This window comes from Homo sapiens, chromosome 7 (assembly GCF_000001405.40).
Source record: "Homo sapiens chromosome 7, GRCh38.p14 Primary Assembly".
NCBI classification, from domain to species: Eukaryota; Metazoa; Chordata; class Mammalia; order Primates; family Hominidae; genus Homo; species Homo sapiens.
In genome coordinates, this window is record NC_000007.14 from 72904805 (window position 1) to 72923139 (window position 18335).

Here is an 18335-nt window from a genome sequence, read left to right on the forward strand (position 1 = left end):
TCAGGACACTTACAATCATGGTGGAAAGCTAACAAGAAGCAAGTACCCTCTTCACTGGCTGGCAGGAGAGAGGAGAGAGTGCAGGGGAAACTGCCACTTAAAAACCATCAGATCTCGTGAGAACTCCCTCGCTATCACGAGAACACCATGGGGTGAACCGCGCCCGTGATCCAATCACCTTCCACCAGGTCCCTCCTTGACCCCTGGGGATTACAATTCAGGATGAGATGTGTGTGGGGACAAAGAGCCACATCAGATGATTTGGTTATTGTAAACCTTTGATTATTTTTCTACAGTTCTCATGAAGTTGATTCAGGCAGTTTTGCTTGGTTTATCAATGTTTCTGTGGGGGGATGGGGACTTGGAGATACCTACTCTGCCATTTTTGCTGATATCAGTCAACACGTTATATTTTCACTTTTAAATAATTCAATATGTTTTCCAGTTTCCCTTGCGACTTACTCTTTGACCCATGAATTATTTAAAAGTGTATTTAATTTCCATGTGTTTAGAGATTTTCTGGTTTCTTTTTTAAATTGATTTAGTTTAATTCTTTTACGGTCACAGAACATATTTTGTATGATTTCAGTTATTTTACATTTCTTAAGATTTGTTTTGGCTGGGCATGGTGGCTCACACCTGTAATCCCATCACTTTGGGAGGCTGAGGTGGGCAGATCACCTGAGGTCAGGAGTTTGAGACCAGCCTGGCCAACATGGCAAAACCCCGTCTCAAAAACAAAAAAATTCACCAGGCATGGTGGTGCATGCCTGTAATCCCAGCTACTCAGGAAGCTGAGGCAGGAAAATTTCTTGAACCCAGGAGGCGGAGGTTGCAGTAAGCCAAGATTGCACCTCTGCACTCCAGCCTGGGCGACAGAGCGAGATTCCATCTCAAAAAAAAGATTTATTTTATGACCCAGGTTCTGGTAAATCTTGCTGAATCTTCTATGGGCGAAGAATGTGTACCCTGCTATTGCTGTGTGAAGTCTCCTGTAAATGTCAGTTAGGTTCCATTGGTCGATGATGGTGTTCAGTTACTGTATTGTTTGCTGATTTTCTTTGCTGTTTTTTTCCTGTAATGGTCTAAGCTTCCGTATATCCTGTTTCTTTGTATATTTTATAGTTTTTTGTTGAGAACGTTGCATTTTAAGTGTTACAATGTAATGACCCTCAAAATGTGATTCTCTCAGTCACCTGGGATTGCTGGGTTTTGCTTGTTGAGGTCTGGAGCTCTCGGTTTGTTACTTTTCCAAACTATTTTTGCAAAGCGTTTCTTCCTTGTGTTTGTGTGGTCACTGAAATTTCTGTGTCATTATCTCTGCAGTCAGCCAGCCACCTAACATCGATTTCCTTAAATAGGGGGCTTTAAATGGGGTGAGGCAGAGGAGGATTTTGTCTCTTTAATAAAATCTTCTGAAGGATGTCCCTGGGGAAGCCACTGTTGCTGAGAGGGCCAAATAAACCAAGGCAAGCATCCGGGCTGGTCCTCAGAGACCCATCGGACCCACCAAGGTGCAGAACCCACGGTTTTGGAGGACAGAGTTCCGCTGCTCGCCCTGGCATCAGCCAGCTGCTTCGGGAACTCAGGCTCAGGAATTGGGGAGTGTTGGCTGGTTGGCACATGCCACTCACTGGTGAAGATCAGCAGCCTCTCCCTTCATTGTTTAAGTATGTCTCTGGTTGTTAGGAGTTTCTGGTCATGTTTCAGAGTTCCAAAAGAGCTGATTCCAATCACTCTTTCTAGCTCAGTGGTTGCTTCAGTGAAGGGACTGATCTCTACACTACAGCTTCCTACTCTGCCATCTTATGTGACTATTGATATTTATTTATTTATTTATTGAGACAGAGTCTTACTCTGTTGGCTGGAGTGCAGTGGTGCAGTCACGGCTTACTGCAGCCTTGACCTCCTGGGCTTGAGTGGTTCTCTCACCTCAGCCTCCCGAGTAGCTGGGACTATAGGTATGTGCCCCCATGCCTGGCTAATCTTTTTTTTTTTCTTTTTGTAGAGATGGGGTCTCACTATCATGCCCAGGCTGGTCTCAAACTCCTGAGCTCAAGTGATTCCCCCCGCCTCGGCCCCCTAATGTACTGGGATTACAGGCATAAGCTACCACACTTGGCCATGAGTCATTTTTAAAAAAACAGATTCCAACAACCTTTTTGATTGCTGTGTTTAGAAGATTTATACTTAATTTTAGATGGGTTTTTATTATCTCTTTTCTAAGTTGTTCCCTCTGGGTTTTTTTATACCTGTTTGCCTTTTCTTGCCTTTTTATGGGGTATTTAGACATTTCTTAGTATGCCATTTAACTTCATATGCCGTGCTAAATCAATTCAGTATGCCATTTAGTATATATTTTTGTATAGGATTTTATAGGTGGCTGTAGAGATTATATTATACATACTTATGATTGTTGGCTAGTATCAACCTTTTACCAGTTCAAGTGGAATGTAGAAACTCTACTTCTTTCTAGGCCCCTTTGCCCTTTTTTATGGTATTGTTGTCTTGAATATCACCTCTACATATGTTGAGAACCACGTGAGATAATGTTATGATTTTGCTTTCGCCCATCAAATATAATTTTTAAACTCAAGAAATTATATTCACCCAGATATTTACCGTCTTATTGCTTTTTTAAATTTCTTTTTTAAAATTTAATTTGTATACTTTTTCTTCTGAAAAAAAATCTTTCTGGATTTTTCTTCATTGCTTTTTTTTTTTGAGACAGAGTCTCACTCTGTCGCCCAGGCTGGAGTGCACTGGTGTGATCTCAGCTCACTGCAACCTCCACCTCCCTGGTTCAAGTGATTCTCCTGCTTCAGCCTGTTGAGTAGCTGGGATTGCAGGCATGCACCGCCACGCCTGGCTAATTTTTATATTTTTAGTAGAGATGGGGTTTCACCATGTTGGCCAGGCTGGTCTTGAGCTCCTGACCTCAAGTGATCCTCCTGCCTTAGCCTCCCAAAGTGCTGATATTACAGGCGTGAGCCACCGCGCCCAGCCTCTTCAGATGTTTTTTGGGCACTGCACTCTTTCCTCTCCTTCTGGGAATTCAGTGACATGAATGTGAGAGCGTTTGCTGTTGTCCCATTGTTCTTTTTTTGTGTGTGTGTTTGTTTTCTCTCTGTTGGTCAAATGGGATTATTTCTATGTAATTTTTTTTCTTATGGCAAGATTGTTATGATACAGATTGGATCATTTCTGCTGCTCTATCATCAAGGTCACCAATTTTTTTCTCTGTTGTATCTCCATTCTGCTATTGAGTTCACCCATTGAGTTTTTTACTTAGTTATTGTAATTTCTAGTTCTGAAATTACAACGTAGTTCTTCTACATATCTTCAATGATGTCGGGGGAACCCGCCCCTGATAATTCAACGTGAGTCCTTTTCTATTTTCCCTAAGTGTCAGCCAGTCTGAGAAATAAAGGGAAAGAGTACAAAGAGAGAAATTTTTAAAGCTGGGTGTCCGGGGGAGACATCACATGTCGGCAGGTTCCGTGATGCCCCCAAAGCTGCAAAACCAGCAAGTTTTTATTAGTAATTTTCAAAAGGGGAGGGAGTCTATGACTAGGGTGTGGGTCACAGAAATCACATGCTTCACAAGGTAATAAAATATTACAAGGCAAATGGAGGCAGGGCGAGATCACAGGACCAGGGCAAAATTAAAATTGCTAATGAAGTTTTGGGCATGCATTGTCATTGATAACATCAGGAGACAGGTTTGAGAGCAGACAACCGGTTTGACCAAAATTTATTAGGCGGGAATTTCCTCGTCCTAATATGCCTGGGAGTGCTATGGGAAACGGGAACTTATTTCCTCCCTTATCTGCAACCGTAAAAGACAGACGTTCCCAGAGCGGCCATTTTAGAGCCCTCCCCCTAGGAACGCATTCTCTTTCTCAGGGCTGTTCCTTGCTGAGAAAAAGAATTCAGCGTTATTTCTCCTATTTGCTTTTGAAAGAAGAGAAATATGGCTCTGTTCCACCCAGCTCTCAGGCAGCCAGACCTAATGGTTATCTCCCTTGTTCCCTGAACATTACTGTTATCCTGTTCTTTTTTCAAGGTGCCCAGATTTCATATTGTTTAAACAATTTGTGCAGTTAACGTAATCATCACAGGGTCCTGAGGCGACATACATCCTCAGTTTACGAAGATGATGGGATTAAGAGATTAAAGACAGGCATAGAAAATCACAAAAATATTGATTGGGGAAGTGATAAATGTCCATGAAATCTTCACAATTTATGTTCAGAGATTGCAGTAAAGACAGGTGTAAGAAATTATAAAAGTATTAATTTAGGGAACTAATAAATGTCTATGAAATCTTCACAATTTATGTTCTTCTGCCATGGCTTTAGCTGTTCCCTCTGTTCGGGGTCCCTGACTTCCTGCAACACAGTGAGACTTTATATTTTTCAGTGTGTTTCGAGAGTGTTCATAATTACTTCTTGGGCCATTTATAAGATAGCTCATCTAAAATCCCTATGCAATAATTCCAACATCTTTGTCATCTTAGTGTTACCATCTGTTGATTGTCTTTCCTCATTCAGATTTTTTCTGGTTTTTAGTATGAGGAGTAATTTTTCTGGGTTCAGATTTTTCTGGTTCTTAGTATGAGGAATAAGTTTTAACTTTATCCTGGACACTTTGAGTGTTATGTTATGAGGCTGTATGTAGTTCCTGTATAAATATTCTATATTAGCAGGCACTCAACCTGTTTAGATTCGGGTTGCACTTTCTGTGGCCAGCAGGGCTCTGGTTCTAAGATCAATTTAGTTTTCTAAGTTTTTGCAGAGCTCTTCTGGCCTCCCACACCTGTGTGCAACCCAGAGGCCAATTTGTTTTTTTGTTGTTGTTTGGAGACAGTGTCTTGCTCTGTTGCCCTGGCTGGAGTGCAATGGCCCAGTCATAGCTCACTGCAGCTGTAACCTCCCAGACTCAGTCACTCCTTCTTCTCAACCTCCTGAGTAGCTGGGACCAGCGGTACACACTACCATGCCCAGCTAATTTTTTATATTTAGTAGAGACAAGGTCTCACTCTGTTGCCCAGGCTGATCTTGAACTCCTGGGCTCAAGTGTTCCTCCCATCTCGGCCTCCCACAGTGTTGGGATTACAGGCATGAGCCACTGCACCCAGCCCTGGAGGCCAGTTTGAAACCTCAGAGTATTCCACATTGCCGTTGAGCTCTCAAAGCTTTTGCTGTGTTGATCCTGGTTGTTTTCACACATGGGCACTTCGAGGGCATGGCCAGGACTTCTACACATATTTAACCCATTTCCCATTTAGGAAAAAAAAAGTGCAGCTTGCTGCTAGCGTTCATTTAATTTTGCATAAACACACTTTTGAGACTGAAGTAAATCTGACTGATTTTCAATGCGAAAATAAAATATGAAAACTGGGTTTGGCCTTCTTCCAAGTGTACTTTCCTTCCCTTCCTTCCTTTCTTTACTGCTTTAAAGCTTTTTAATATACTTTCACTCCTGTTCTAAAAGAAAAAAATATATATCAACTGTTCTTGGAGTTATTATTAAACAGAACTTGTCTTTAATCCGAATGTAACAGAAATGTACACGACGTTATATTAGGATTAGAGAGGAATATTCTGCGGTGGGTGGGACGGGGAACGGGAAATGGGTTGGAGAATCCTTGCTTCTAGCTCCTCACTGTCTTTGAGAGAGGATGGGGTGCCACCTTGTTACTGTGGTTCAGTCTTGTGCAGGTTGTGGATGGTCAGCAGGGCCCTTCCACACAGTCTTTCCAGTGCTTGGTGGAGAGGGGAGAGATGCCACCTCTGCTTGTGTTGGCCCAAGGTGGGGAGGGTCAACAGGTCTTTGTTCCACAGTGTCTACAGTATCTGGGGCAGGGGAAGGTGCAGCTTTTTTCAGGCTGTTTTCCTAGAGTAGGGTGTGTGTAGTCAAAAGGGCACTGTCCCGCAGGGCCGCCCTCTTCGCTGTCATTTGGCTCGAAAGATGAGGCTCCTTTTGCGGGGGTTAGGGGATGAAGGGGGCACTGGGATTTCCTGGTTGTAGACTCTGCTCTAACAGATAAGACAGGGTATATAGGAGGCCAAAGAACAAACCATCAAACCACCCCAGGAACTCACCACTGGGTCAGCCCTTCTCTTCTCTACCTTTCCAGAATTTGTTGGTTTGATTGATTGGATCGTTGCTTCATGTATTTATTTATTTGTTTTTAATTGAGATAGTCTGGCTATGTCCGCCAGGTTGGAGTACAATAGCGCAATCTTAGCTCACTGCATTCTCCACCTCCTGGGTTGAAGCAGTTCTGCCTCAGCCTCCCTAGTAGCTGGGATTACTGGCGCTCGCCACCACGCCCAGCTCATGTTTGTATTATTAGTAGAGATGGAGTTTCACCATTTTGGCCAGGCTGGTCTCAAACTCCTGACCTCAGGTGATCTGCCTGCCTCGGCCTCCCAGAGTGCTGGGATTACAGGCATGAGCCACCGTGCCCAGCTGCTTCATGTATTTTGAACAGGGGTTTTAGTTGTAATTAGAAGAGAAATGTAATGGGTGTGCTTATTCCATCTCCTATGGAACTGGAAACAACATTTGGCATTGAAAATTGTTGTCTTGATAACCTTCAGGGTGTTACTTCTCATTTTAGCGGCAATACATTTTGCTTCCGTGTGATGAAACATCCTACCCATTTGCATGTTGATTGTGTCTCATGTCCCATCTCGCAACAGGCAGTAAAACCCCATCTCCAGCCCAAAGCACCTTGCTAAAGAGCCTGCACCGCAGTCACTGTGCCTTTGCGCTCTGGCTCGTGCGACCTCTCCAGATCTTCTTCCTCATTTCGTCTGTTCACTGGGGCCCTCTTCTCCCTGTGACTCGCCTCAGCCTTTTCACTCCTTGCTGGACATGGAGTAGGACTATTGGGAGGATGAAATAGACGAATGCGTGGCAAGCATGTAGGAGAGCCTGTGGCACAGAAGCAGCACTCGGTACATGGTGCTTGTTGTTATATCCCTAGTTTTGACATAACCTCAGCCTCAAGTAAAAGATAACCCAAACTCCCACCAAAGTACAAGAGTCAGATTCCTGTTCACTTCTGTTTATAAATGAACTTTCTATTTTTTTAAGAGCAGGGTTGCACTCTGTCACCCAGGCTGGAGTGCAGTGGAGCGATCATACCTCACTGCAGCGTTGACTTCCTGGGTTCAAGGGATCCTCCTGCCTCAGCCTCCTGAGTAGCTGGGACTACAGGTTCACGCTACCATGCCCAGCTAGTTGTTGTTGTTTTGGTACAGATGAGATCTCTGCTATGTTGCCCAGGCTAGTCTTGAACTCTTGGGCTCAAGCAGTCCTCCCTCTTTGGCCTCCCAAAGTGCTGGGAGTACAGGCATGAGCCACTGCGCCTGGCCTGGATGAAGTTTTTCCTCATGCAGTACTCTGCACACCTTTAGTGAGTGCTCGCCACGCACCATATCCTATGTGAGGGATCAAAAGATAGGCGAGATACAGCCCATGTCTTCAAAGAGCCCACAGGCCAGAGTGGGAGAAATAAGACACGCAGCACAGTGCAGTAAACTGATAGGAATGTAATGAAAAGAGACACGGGAGAGAGGGGACCCCAAAGGGAGGGTGGCCATATGTTTGGGACTGAGGACAGGTTCCCAGAGGTGGTGACAGTTGGGCTGAATCTTAAAAGATAAGTGGGTTTTCTGGCCGGGCGTGGTGGCTCACACCTGTAATCCTAGCACTTTGGGAGGCCGAAGCAGGTGGATCATGAAGTCAGGAGATCGAGACCATCCTGGCCAACATGGTGAAACCCCGTATCTACTAAAACGCGCACACAAAATTAGCCAGGCATGGTGGTGCATGCCTGTGGTCCCAGCTACTTGGGAGGCTGAGGCAGGGGAATCGCTTGAACCCGGGAGGCAGAGGTTGCAGTGAGCCGAGATCGCGCCACTGTACTCCAGCCTGGCAACAGAGCAAGACTCCGTTTCAAAACAAGATCTAAGTGGGTTTTCCCAAGTTGAGTCAGGGCATTTCCCGCAGAAGCAGAATGAGCAAAACTTGAGAGCCACAGACCAGCACGGCGGGTAATTCAGTGTCCGCGTCATCAGTGGTACATGCCTACAGCCATGTCGAAATTGTGTCTGGAGAAGCACATGACGCAGACTCTCCCTGATTTACAAGGCTCTTCATCATCAGGTCCCTACTTAACTCTAATTTCATCTCTTGTCTTATCTATTATTTAGTCTGATATCATGCATTAATTATATATACTGTACATTGATACACAGCATTTATTTGAAAGATAAACCTCTTGGATGTGACTCTGGAGACAAGACCAGCAGCTCGAGACCATTCAATCCAAGGTATAAAATGGGAGAAAATCAGCTCCATCATGGTCTGAATTGAGGATGAGGCAGAAGAGCAGAGAATAGCGGATGCCCAGGTGGCAGCAACTTAACTCTTTTCCTGTGGACTTGCGGGGTCTCCCCACCTCCACTGCGTCGGGACATGCCGTGTGCCGTCTCTTTATCCATAGCTGCCTCCGGCATCAGCAGAGAAAGTCATGGGCAGATGGAGCCGTGGATTAGTTCTTTTTTCCAGTCTTCCTTTACTTTATCTGGATAAGATTGGGCAGATTGAATTTGATCTTCTATACTGGGGCCAGGGAGCAGGGTGGATCTAGACCATGCAGCTTTTCCCCACTGTCACCAGTTTGGGAGCAGGGATTGGCTGCCATTGTCCTGTCTAGCCTCCGTGTTCCTGGGACACCGCTGACTGGAGGCTGCTCCTCTTCTAAGGGAGTCTGGCATAGAAGACACGACCCAGAGCACATGGCACCTTCTCTCTTCTCCTGCACCAGTCTCCTTGCCCCTCTGTATTGTCATCATACTGAAGCAAACCATCCAACTCACCAGCGTCTCTGGACTCGTTTCATTGATTCCTCTCCCTGAAACTCTTCCTCATTCTCCTTTTAGCCCTTCACATCCTCAGCCGAAGATCTCACTTCCTCCCAGAGGCCTTTGCTGACTGACCCCTCAGGTAGGCTAAATCCCCATCCTGCGCTTCCATGACAGCCTGTAGCAGATGCTGTTTTCTGCAGGTGGCCACAGCCCTATCTCCCATCCCACACACTCCTCTCATAACATGACCGTGTCACTTCTTCCATCGCGTGGTCGGGGTTATGTCTCTTTTCTTTGAGCCTATGCACATCTTTGTGATTGCCCTGACCAATAAATAAAGTAGGACAGAAGCGACGCTATGAGATTGCCAAACTTCACTGTAAAAATGCCATGCCCTTCTGCTGTGTTGTCGTGGAATGCTTGCCCTTAGAAGTAAGCTGCCGGACTGTGATGAAGCCCAAACCAGCCCAAATGGGGAGACTGCAAGGAGGGGCCACATGGACAGGTTCTACATAGGTCAGTTGAAGTCCTGGCTGACAGCCAGTATCAGCTCCTGGTTTTGTGAATGAAGATGCCTCTAAATGATTCCAGCCCCCTCCCACTGATCACACTTAAGACTCCATGTCTTCCCAGCTGAGGCCCCACATGTCGTGGACCAGAGACAAGCCAGGCCTGTTGGAATCACAGAATCCCGGATGATAATGATTGTTTTTTGCCACTATGTTTTGGATTGGTTTCTGGTGCAATTAGTAACTGAAACAGACTTCACTTCTTTATACTCATTAAGGAATGAGACTGTGTCTTTTTTTTTTTTTTTTTAACTTTTTGTAGAGATAGGGTCTCGCTGTAGAGATAGGGTCTCGCTGTAGAGATAGGGTCTCGCCGTATTGCTGAGGATGGTCTTGAACTTCTGGCCTCAAGCGATCCTCCTACCTCAGCCTCCCAAAGTGCTGGGAGCACAGGCGTGAGCCACCATGCCTGGCCTGACACTGTCTCCAGTGTTTATTGGTGTTTCCTGTGTTGCACAAAGCAGGTGGTGGTAGGTGCACTGTCAATAGTGAGTTTGTGAGTAGAAGGTGTGTGTTTCTCCTTTTCGTGTGGGTGTCACACAGTTGGTGTCTGTGTGCCTGGAAGCACACACCTGTTTCTGCTTCCAGAGTTGTCTCTGGCCTGCAGTTCTGTGCTTCCCAGCTTGATCCGTTCCTCTCCAGGAATCTCCTCTCCCTCCCCACCCTGACCCACCTGTTGGTGAGATGCAACTGACTTTCTGCCACATTTTTTACTTACAGGTGGTACCTGTATTATTCCCTCCACCTCTGCAGGGAAGAGGGTGAAGAAATGAGAGGCTTAGGGGCTCCAAACACAAACTTGACCAGTTTTACAATTTTGTTAGCAACAATCTTGAGAGAATCAATACAAACTTTAGGTAGCTTGGTACTTTGCCCTTCAGGACAGTTCTTCCCTGGTAATGTTAGATTGTTGGGGTTAACCATTACTGTGCCATTACAGATGAGCTTCGGCTGCCCTCTAGTGGCAGCAGCAACCTGGATCTCAGGAACAAAGATCATTCTAGCATTGGGACCAGCTCTGCGTCATGAGTATGTCATCAGTGCCTAGCATATTACCTGGCATCTATTCAGAGCTAATAACTAACTAATATTGATTAACAAACTAGCCAACATGCACTGCTTTTTGTTTGTTTTTGAGACGAGTCTCACTCACCTAGGCTGGAGTACAGTGGCACGATCTCGGCTCCTCCTCCGCCTCGCACCTCCCAGGTTCAAGCAATTCTTCTGCCTCATCCTCCCTAGTAGCTGGGATTACAGGTGTGCACTACTACACCCGGCTAAATTTTTTGTATTTTTAATAGAGACAGGGTTTCCCCATGTTGGCCAGGCTGGTCTTGAACTCCTGACCTCAGGTGATCCACTTGCTTTGGCCTCCCAAAGCACTGGGATTACAAGTATGAGCCACTGCGCCCAAGCTTTTTGTTTGTGTTTTGAGACAGAGTCTCACTGTGTTGCCCAGGCTGGAGTGCAGTGGCGTGATCCAGGCTCACTGCAACCTCCGCCTCCTGGGTTCAAGAGATTCTCCTGCCTCAGCCTCCCAAGTAGCTGAGATTATAGGCGCCCACCACCATGCCAGGCTAATTTTTGTGTTTTTAGTAGAGTAATTTAGTAATTTTTGTATTTTTAGTCTTGAACTCCTGAGCTCAGGTGATCCACCCACCTTGGCCTCCCAAAGTGTTGGGATTACAGGCGTGAGCCACCGTGCCTGGCCCTTTGCCCACTTTTTGATGGGGTTGTTTGTTTTTTCCTTGTAAATTTGTTTAAGTTCCTTGTAGTTTCTGGATCTACAAGAATCTACAAGATCTGGACCTGACCTTTGTCAGATGGGTAGGTTGCAAAAATTTTCTCCCGTTCTGTAGGTTGCCTGTTCACTCTGATGCTAGTTTCTTTTGCTATACAGAAGCTCTTTAGTTTAGTTAGATCCCATTTGTCAATTTTGGCTTTTGTTGCAATTGCTTTTGGTGTTTTAGTCATGAAGTCTTTGCCCATGCCTATGTCCTGAATGGTATTGCCTAGGTTTTCTTCTAGGATTTTTATGGTTTTGGATTTTACATTTAAGTCTTTAATCCATCTTGAGTTAGTTTTTTATAAGGTGTAAGGACAGGGTCCAGTTTCAGCTTTCTGTATATGGCTAGCCAGTCTTCCCAGCACCATTAAATAGAGAATCCTTACCCCATTGCTTGTTTTTGTCAGGTTTGTCGAAGATCAGATGGTTGTAGATGTGTGGTGTTATTTCTGAGGTCTCTATTCTGTTCCATTGGTCTATGTATCTGTTTTGGTACCAGTACCATGCTGTTTTGGTTACTGTAGCCTTGTAGTATAGTTTGAAGTCAGGTAGCGTGATGCCTACAGCTTTGTTCTTTTTGCTTAGTATTGTCTTGGCTATACAGGCTCGTTTTTGGTTCCATATGAAATTTAAAGTAGTTTTTCTAGTTCTGTGAAGAAAGTCAGTGGTAGCTTGTTGGAAATAGCATTGACTCTGTAAATTATTTTGGGTAGTATAGCCATTTTCACAATATTGATTCTTCCTATCTATGAGCATGGAATGTGTTTCCATTTGTTTGTGTACTCTCTTATTTCCTTGAGCAGTGGTTTGTAGTTCTCCTTGAAGAGGTACTTCATGATTTATGAGAGTTTTTAAAAAGTTTTTGTCTGCTAAGTCCAACGTCTGGGCTTCCTAAGGGCTGATTTCCATCAATTTATTTTGTTATTTTGGATACGTTCCTTTGTCTTGGCATGATTTGTGACTGTCATTGAAACATGGACATTTGAATATTGCAAGGTAGTAACTCTGGCATTTAGATGATACTTCTCATTGTTTGCTATGTGTCTGTGAGTGAGTGTGTTTTTAATCATTGAAGGCTGTAGTAGTACATACATTTAGTGACTTCCAAACTATTTTTGCAAAGATTTATCATTTTCATGTGTGGTCACTGAAGTCTCTGATTCTTTTAGCTTGTGTTCAGCTCACATTTTGATAGAGATTTCCTTGAATACTAGGAGCTAAAAATGGAAGAAAACACCTCTCCCAGTCTTTGAAGTTTGCCTTTGCACCACAGCTTTTCTTCAGCACTTAGCTGGGCCTGCACTGACCCTCGTAATCAGGCCAAGGTGAAAGCTTAGGTCTTTCTGAGCGAGCATCCTGCCCTGGACAAAGCCCGTGTAACACCTGAGTGCTTGTGACTGCCCTGCTTTCCCAGAGGAATTCTCCCCAGCTTTTCTGCTTTCCCAGAGGAATTCTCCCCAGCTTTTCTGCTTTCCCAGAGGAATTCTCCCCAGCTTTCCTTCTCGGATTTAGGAAGTCTGTATTAGTTTGCTAGGGCTACCATCACGAAATGCCACAGACCATGTGGTTTCAACAGCTGGAAGTTATTTTCTCACAGTTCTAGAGGCCAGAAGTCAAAGATCAAGGTGCCAGCTGCAGGGACCAGCCCCACAGGGTCGGTGGGCTTCTCCCTGTGTGCAGCGATGAGAGAGTGTAGAAAGAAAGACACAAGACAAAGAGATAAAAGAAAAGACAGCTGGGCCCGGGGGACCACTACCACCAATGCGCAGAGACCGGTAGTGGCCCTGAATGTCTGGCTGCGCTGTTATTTATTGGATACAAAGCAAAAGGGGCAGGGTAAAGAGTGAGTCATCTCCAATGATAGGTAAGGTCACGTGGGTCACATGTCCACTGGACAGGGGGCCCTTCCCTGCCTGGCAGCCGAGTCAGAGAGAGAGAGAGAGGAGACAAAGAGAAAGATAGCTTACGCCATTATTTCTGCATATCAGAGACTTTTAGTACTTTCACTAATTTACTACTGCTATCTAGAAGGCAGAGCCAGGTGTACAAGATGGAACATGAAGGTGGACTAGGAGTGTGACCACTGAAGTACAGCATCACGGAGACAATTAGGCCTCCAGATAACTGCGGGCAAGCCTGACTGATGTCAGGCCCTCCACAAGAGGTGGAGGAGCAGAGTCTTCTCTAAACTCCCCCGGGGAAAGGGAGACTCCCTTTCCCGGTCTGCTAAGTAGCCGGTGTTTTTCCTTGACACTTTTCGGTACCGCTAGACCACGGTCTGCCTGGCAACAGGCGTCTTCCCAGATGCTGGCGTCACTGCTAGACCAAGGAGCCCTTCTGGTGGCCGTGTCTGGGCATAACAGAAGGCTCACACTCTTGTCTTCTGGTCACTTCTCACTGTGTCTCCTCAGCTCCTATCTCTGTATGGCCTGGTTTTTCCTAGGTTATGATTGTAGAGCGAGGATTATTATAATATTGGAATAAAGAGTAATTGCTACAAACTAATGATTAATGATATTCATATATAATCATGTCTGTGCTCAAGATCTAGTATAACTCTTGTTGTTTTATATATTTTATTATACTGGAACAGCTCGTGCCCTCGGTCTCTTGCCTCGGCACCTGGATGGCTTACTGCCCACACCAGCAGGGCTGACTTCTTCAGGGTCTTCTCTCGTTGGCTTGCAGATAGCTGCCTTCTTGCTGTGTCCTCATGTGACCTTTTCTCTGCACGTCTCTGGCATTTCTGCTTGTTTCTTCCGTGTTTTTTTGAGATGGAGTTGTCACTCTGTCTCCAGGCTGGAGTGCAGTGGCGCGATCTCGGCTCACTGCAACCTCCACCTTCCGGGTTCAAGCGATTCTCCTGCCTCAGCCTCCCTAGTAGCTGGGATGACAGGCACCCGCCACCACACCCGGCTAATTTTTTGTATTTTTTTGGTAGAGACAGGGTTTCACCGTGTTAACCAGGATGGTCTCGATCTCCTGACCTTGTGATCTGCCTGCCTCGGCCTCCCAAAGTGCTAGGCTAATTTTTTATTTTTAGTAGAGGTGGGGTTTCACCATGTTGGTCAGTCTGATCTAGAACTCCTGACCTCAGGTGATTCACCCGCCTTAGCCTCCCAAAGTGCTGGGATTACAGGCGTAAGCCACCATGCCCAGCCTTTTTTTTTTTTTTTTTTTTTTAATATGTTTCTGTTGGGTGATGGGAGCTTGGAGCTGTCTTACTCTGCCCTTTTGCTGATATCATTCCTCAATTATATTTTAAAGAGATTTAAAAAGGAAAAACAGGCATATATATTTACTCAGGTAGTTACCATTTTCAATGCCTGTCATTCCTTTCATTCCTTTGTGTAGATCCAGATTTCCATCTGGTATTTTTCTTCTGCCTGAAAGACATCCCTTAACATTTCTTATAGTGTTTGTTGGTGATGAATTCTTTCAGCTTTTTATTTATTGTTTGAGAGTCTTGCTCTGTCACCCAGGCTGGAGTGCAATGACACAATTATGGCTCACTGGAGCCTTGACCTTCCAGGCTCAAGCAAACCTCCCAGGCTCAGCCTCCCAAGTAACTGAGACTCCAGGCGTGTGCCACTATGCTTGGCTATTTTTGTATTTTTTTTAGAGACAGGTTCTTACTATGTTGCCCGGGCTGGTCTCGAACTCTGAGGCTCAAGCGATCTGCCCACCTCAGCCTTAAAGTGTCTTCCAGCTTTTATGTGTCTGAAAATATCTTTATTTCACTTCGCTAAAATATATTTTCATCACACATAAAATTCTAGGTTTGCAGTTTTTGCCTTCAGCACTTTAAAGATCAAGTTGCACTGCTGTCTTCTCACTTGCACTATTTCTGACAAGAAATTTGGTATCATTCTTATCTTTGTTCCTGTGTAAATAACATGTACTGTTTTCCCAGCTGCCTTCAGGATTTGATCTATATCATTGGTTTTGAGCAATTTGATTATGTGACTTGTTACAGTTTTCTTTGTATTTCTTGTACTTGATGTTGAGCTTTGGGTCTGTGGGTTTATATTTTTCATTATGTTTGGAAAATGTTTGGCCATTATTTCTTCTAATATTTTTCTATGTCTCAGCTTTGTAAACATGTGGGATATAGTTAAAATTAATGTTAATGTCTTTCTCTGCTTATTTTAATATGTGTCAGTTTGGGGTTAGTTTGGATCAAAATAAGGATTGATTGGTTGTTCTTATTATGGGCTGTGTTTTCTTGCTTATTTATATGCCTAGTAATACGATGTCAGGATGCCACACATTGGAAATTTTACCTTGTTTGAGTAATGGTCTTTTTTTTTTTTTTTTTTTTTTAGTTGGAGTCTGGCTCTGTCACCCAGGCTGGAGTGGAGTGGCGCAATCTCGGCTCACTGCAAGCTCCACCTCCTGGGTTCACGCCATTCTCCTGCCTCAGCCTCCCGAGTAGCTGGGACTACAGGCACCAGTCACCATCACCACGCCCAGCTGATTTTTTGTATTTTTAGTAGAGACGGGGTTTCACCATGTTAGCCAGGATGGTCTTGATCTCCTGACCTCATGATCCGCCCGCCTTGGCCTCCCAAAGTGCTGGGATTACAGGCGTGAGCCACCGTGCCCAGCCAATTTTTTATTCCTATATACATTTTCTTGAGCTTTGTTTTGGGATGTATTTAAGATCATTGGAAAGTTGGATCCTTTCAGGTCTTGTTTTTATGATTCATTAGGTGGGTCCAGAGCAGTGCTCAATCTAAGACTGATTCTTTCCCATTCCTGCGGTGCTTGAGTACTCCACACAGAGCCCTATAAATTGTGAGTTTTTCCAGTCTGACTTGTGGTGGCCCCCATCTCTACAAAAATTAAAGAGGCTGGGCACAGTGGCTCATGCCTGTAATCCTAGCAGGTCTTTGAGAGGCCGAGGTGGGCAGATCACCTGAGGTCAGCAGTTTGAGACCAGCCTGGCCAACATGGTGAAACCCAGTCTCTACTAAAAATACAAAAAAGTAGCCGAGTGTGGTGGCGGGTGCCTGTAATACCAGCTACTCTGCTGAGGCTCAGGCAGGAGAATCGCTTGAACCTGGGAGGCGGAGGTTGCAGTGAGCCGAGATCGCGCCACTGCACTCCAACCTGGGCAACGAGCAACAGGCCATCTCAAAAAATAAAAATCAGTAAATAAATAAAGAAAAGACTACCTCATCCAGAAATGCCTTTATAGACACACCCATAAATAAATGTTCAACCAAGTATCTGTGCACCCCATGGTCCCTTCAAGTTGACACTTGAAATTACCCATCACTCCAGCCTTCAGCCGTGGGTTTGTTTCATATATAGATTTCTAGAACTCCCTCTTTGCATAGTGCCCTCCTTTCTTTTTTCTGCCCCATTTCTCTGCCATTTCAGCCATCTCAGCCTGATCTCTGCCTCCTCAGCCCGGTGGGATCTCCCTACTGTGCTCAGACTCCAGCTCTCTGCACTGCAGTTGGGAAATTATCCCCAGGTAGAGGAACTAGGTGACTTTGGGGCTCATCTCACAAGTTTCCTTACACTTAGGGATCAGTCTTTTGCTTCCTGTTGTCCTCTGCCTGAAAGTAGTTGCCAAGTTGTACTGTTTTATATATCCACAACAGCATGCGTTAAACCAAAGTCTGGATCAGCAGACTGCCAGATTTTTTTAACAGCTTTATTAATCAATACATTTTGTCCATGTCTACAGTTGTTTATGGTAGGAGGACTAACCTATAGCTGGAAAGATTAATTTTCAGCTGCTTTATAGTATTTTATTATATGAATTATACCAGTTTGCCCATCCTTGTGTTGATAAACATTACCCATGAAGTGTGTTCGAATTGTCTGTGATACAAATAATGCTTCAGTGACTATCTACCCAGAATGGGATTGTGGGTTTATAGGATACATACTTCTTCACCCTTATTTTTTACTAGATATTGCCAAATTGCTTTCCAAATTGTGCTGTTTCATATATCCACAACGGCATGAGTTCTGTTTGTTCCACATCCATACCAAGACTTGATCTTGTTAAATTAATTTTTCTAGTGTGTAAATGAGTGCAAAATCCTGTTACTTTAGTCTTTACTAGATTACTAGTGAGGTTAAATGTATATGTGTATGTATATATATGCACATATGTGTATATTATTAGGTATTTGTGTTTCCCATTCAATAGCTTTTTTGTATCAATTGTCCTTTTTAAAAATTGGGTTATCTTTTTGTTATTGATTCTTTGGAGTTCTTTTTAAATTCTACTTACTAATCCCCTTTTGGTTATATGTATTAGAGTTGTTTTTCCCAGTCTTGGCTTGTCTTTTAGATGCATATCTTGTCTTTTCCCATATAGAAGTATTAACTTTTTTTGGGGGGATGGAGTCTCACTCTGTTGCCCAGGCTGGAGTGCAGTGGTGCGATCTCGGCTCACTGCAACCTCTGCCTTCTGGGTTCAAGCGATTCTCCAGCCTCAGCCTCCTGAGTAGTTGGTACTACAGGCACGTGGCACCAGGCAAATTTTTGTGTTTTTTTTTTTTTTATCAGAGACTGGGTTCTATCATGTTGCCTAGGCTGGTCTCGAACTCCTGAGCTCAAAGCGATCCGCCCACCTTGGCCTCCAAATGTGCTAGATTATGTGTAAGCCACCATGCCCGGCCCAGAAGTGCTAACTTTTAATGTAGTCATATTTATCTATATTTTCCTAAATGATTTGTGCCCTTTGTGTGTTCATCTCTTGAACTCTAAACACAGGAGTGCCCCGAGGGCTCAGGCTATGGACCTCTCTATTTACATTAATTCTCAGTCATCTTGCTTGGTTTCAGGACATCTGTACCCTGACGGCTTTTATGTGTAGCTCCTCCACTTAACTCCAGCCACACACAATAGTTTAAAGAGCCCCTACTGACCTAGACACTATGTTTCTTCTTCCCCTGTTACCCAGGTTTCTTGAGTAGGGAGTCTGCAGTCACTGCCTCCATTTCTTCACCTTCCAGTCACTGTTCAACCCAGGGCAGCCTGGCTTTTGTCCCACTAGTCTACTGATACTGAGATTTTTTTCTTAAGCAACACAGCTCCCCCCCAACCCCCCCCCCCTTTTTTTTTCAAGTT

At 44.6% G+C, this 18335-nt stretch overlaps 1 protein-coding gene across 20 annotated transcripts in view; it reads left to right on the forward strand.

The window, feature by feature from the left end:
- POM121 (POM121 transmembrane nucleoporin) overlaps nucleotides 1-18335 on the forward strand; it is a 72103-nt gene that overhangs the window by 25448 nt on the left and 28320 nt on the right. For 3 of the 20 annotated variants that reach the window (NM_001257190.3, NM_001387697.1, NM_001387696.1), the window contains one exon: nucleotides 8961-9024. The exons of the other annotated variants lie outside the window; for them this stretch is intronic. The gene's annotated coding sequence lies outside the window, so the exon portion shown is untranslated. The remainder of the gene's footprint in view (nucleotides 1-8960; nucleotides 9025-18335) is intronic. 20 annotated transcript variants of the gene reach the window in all.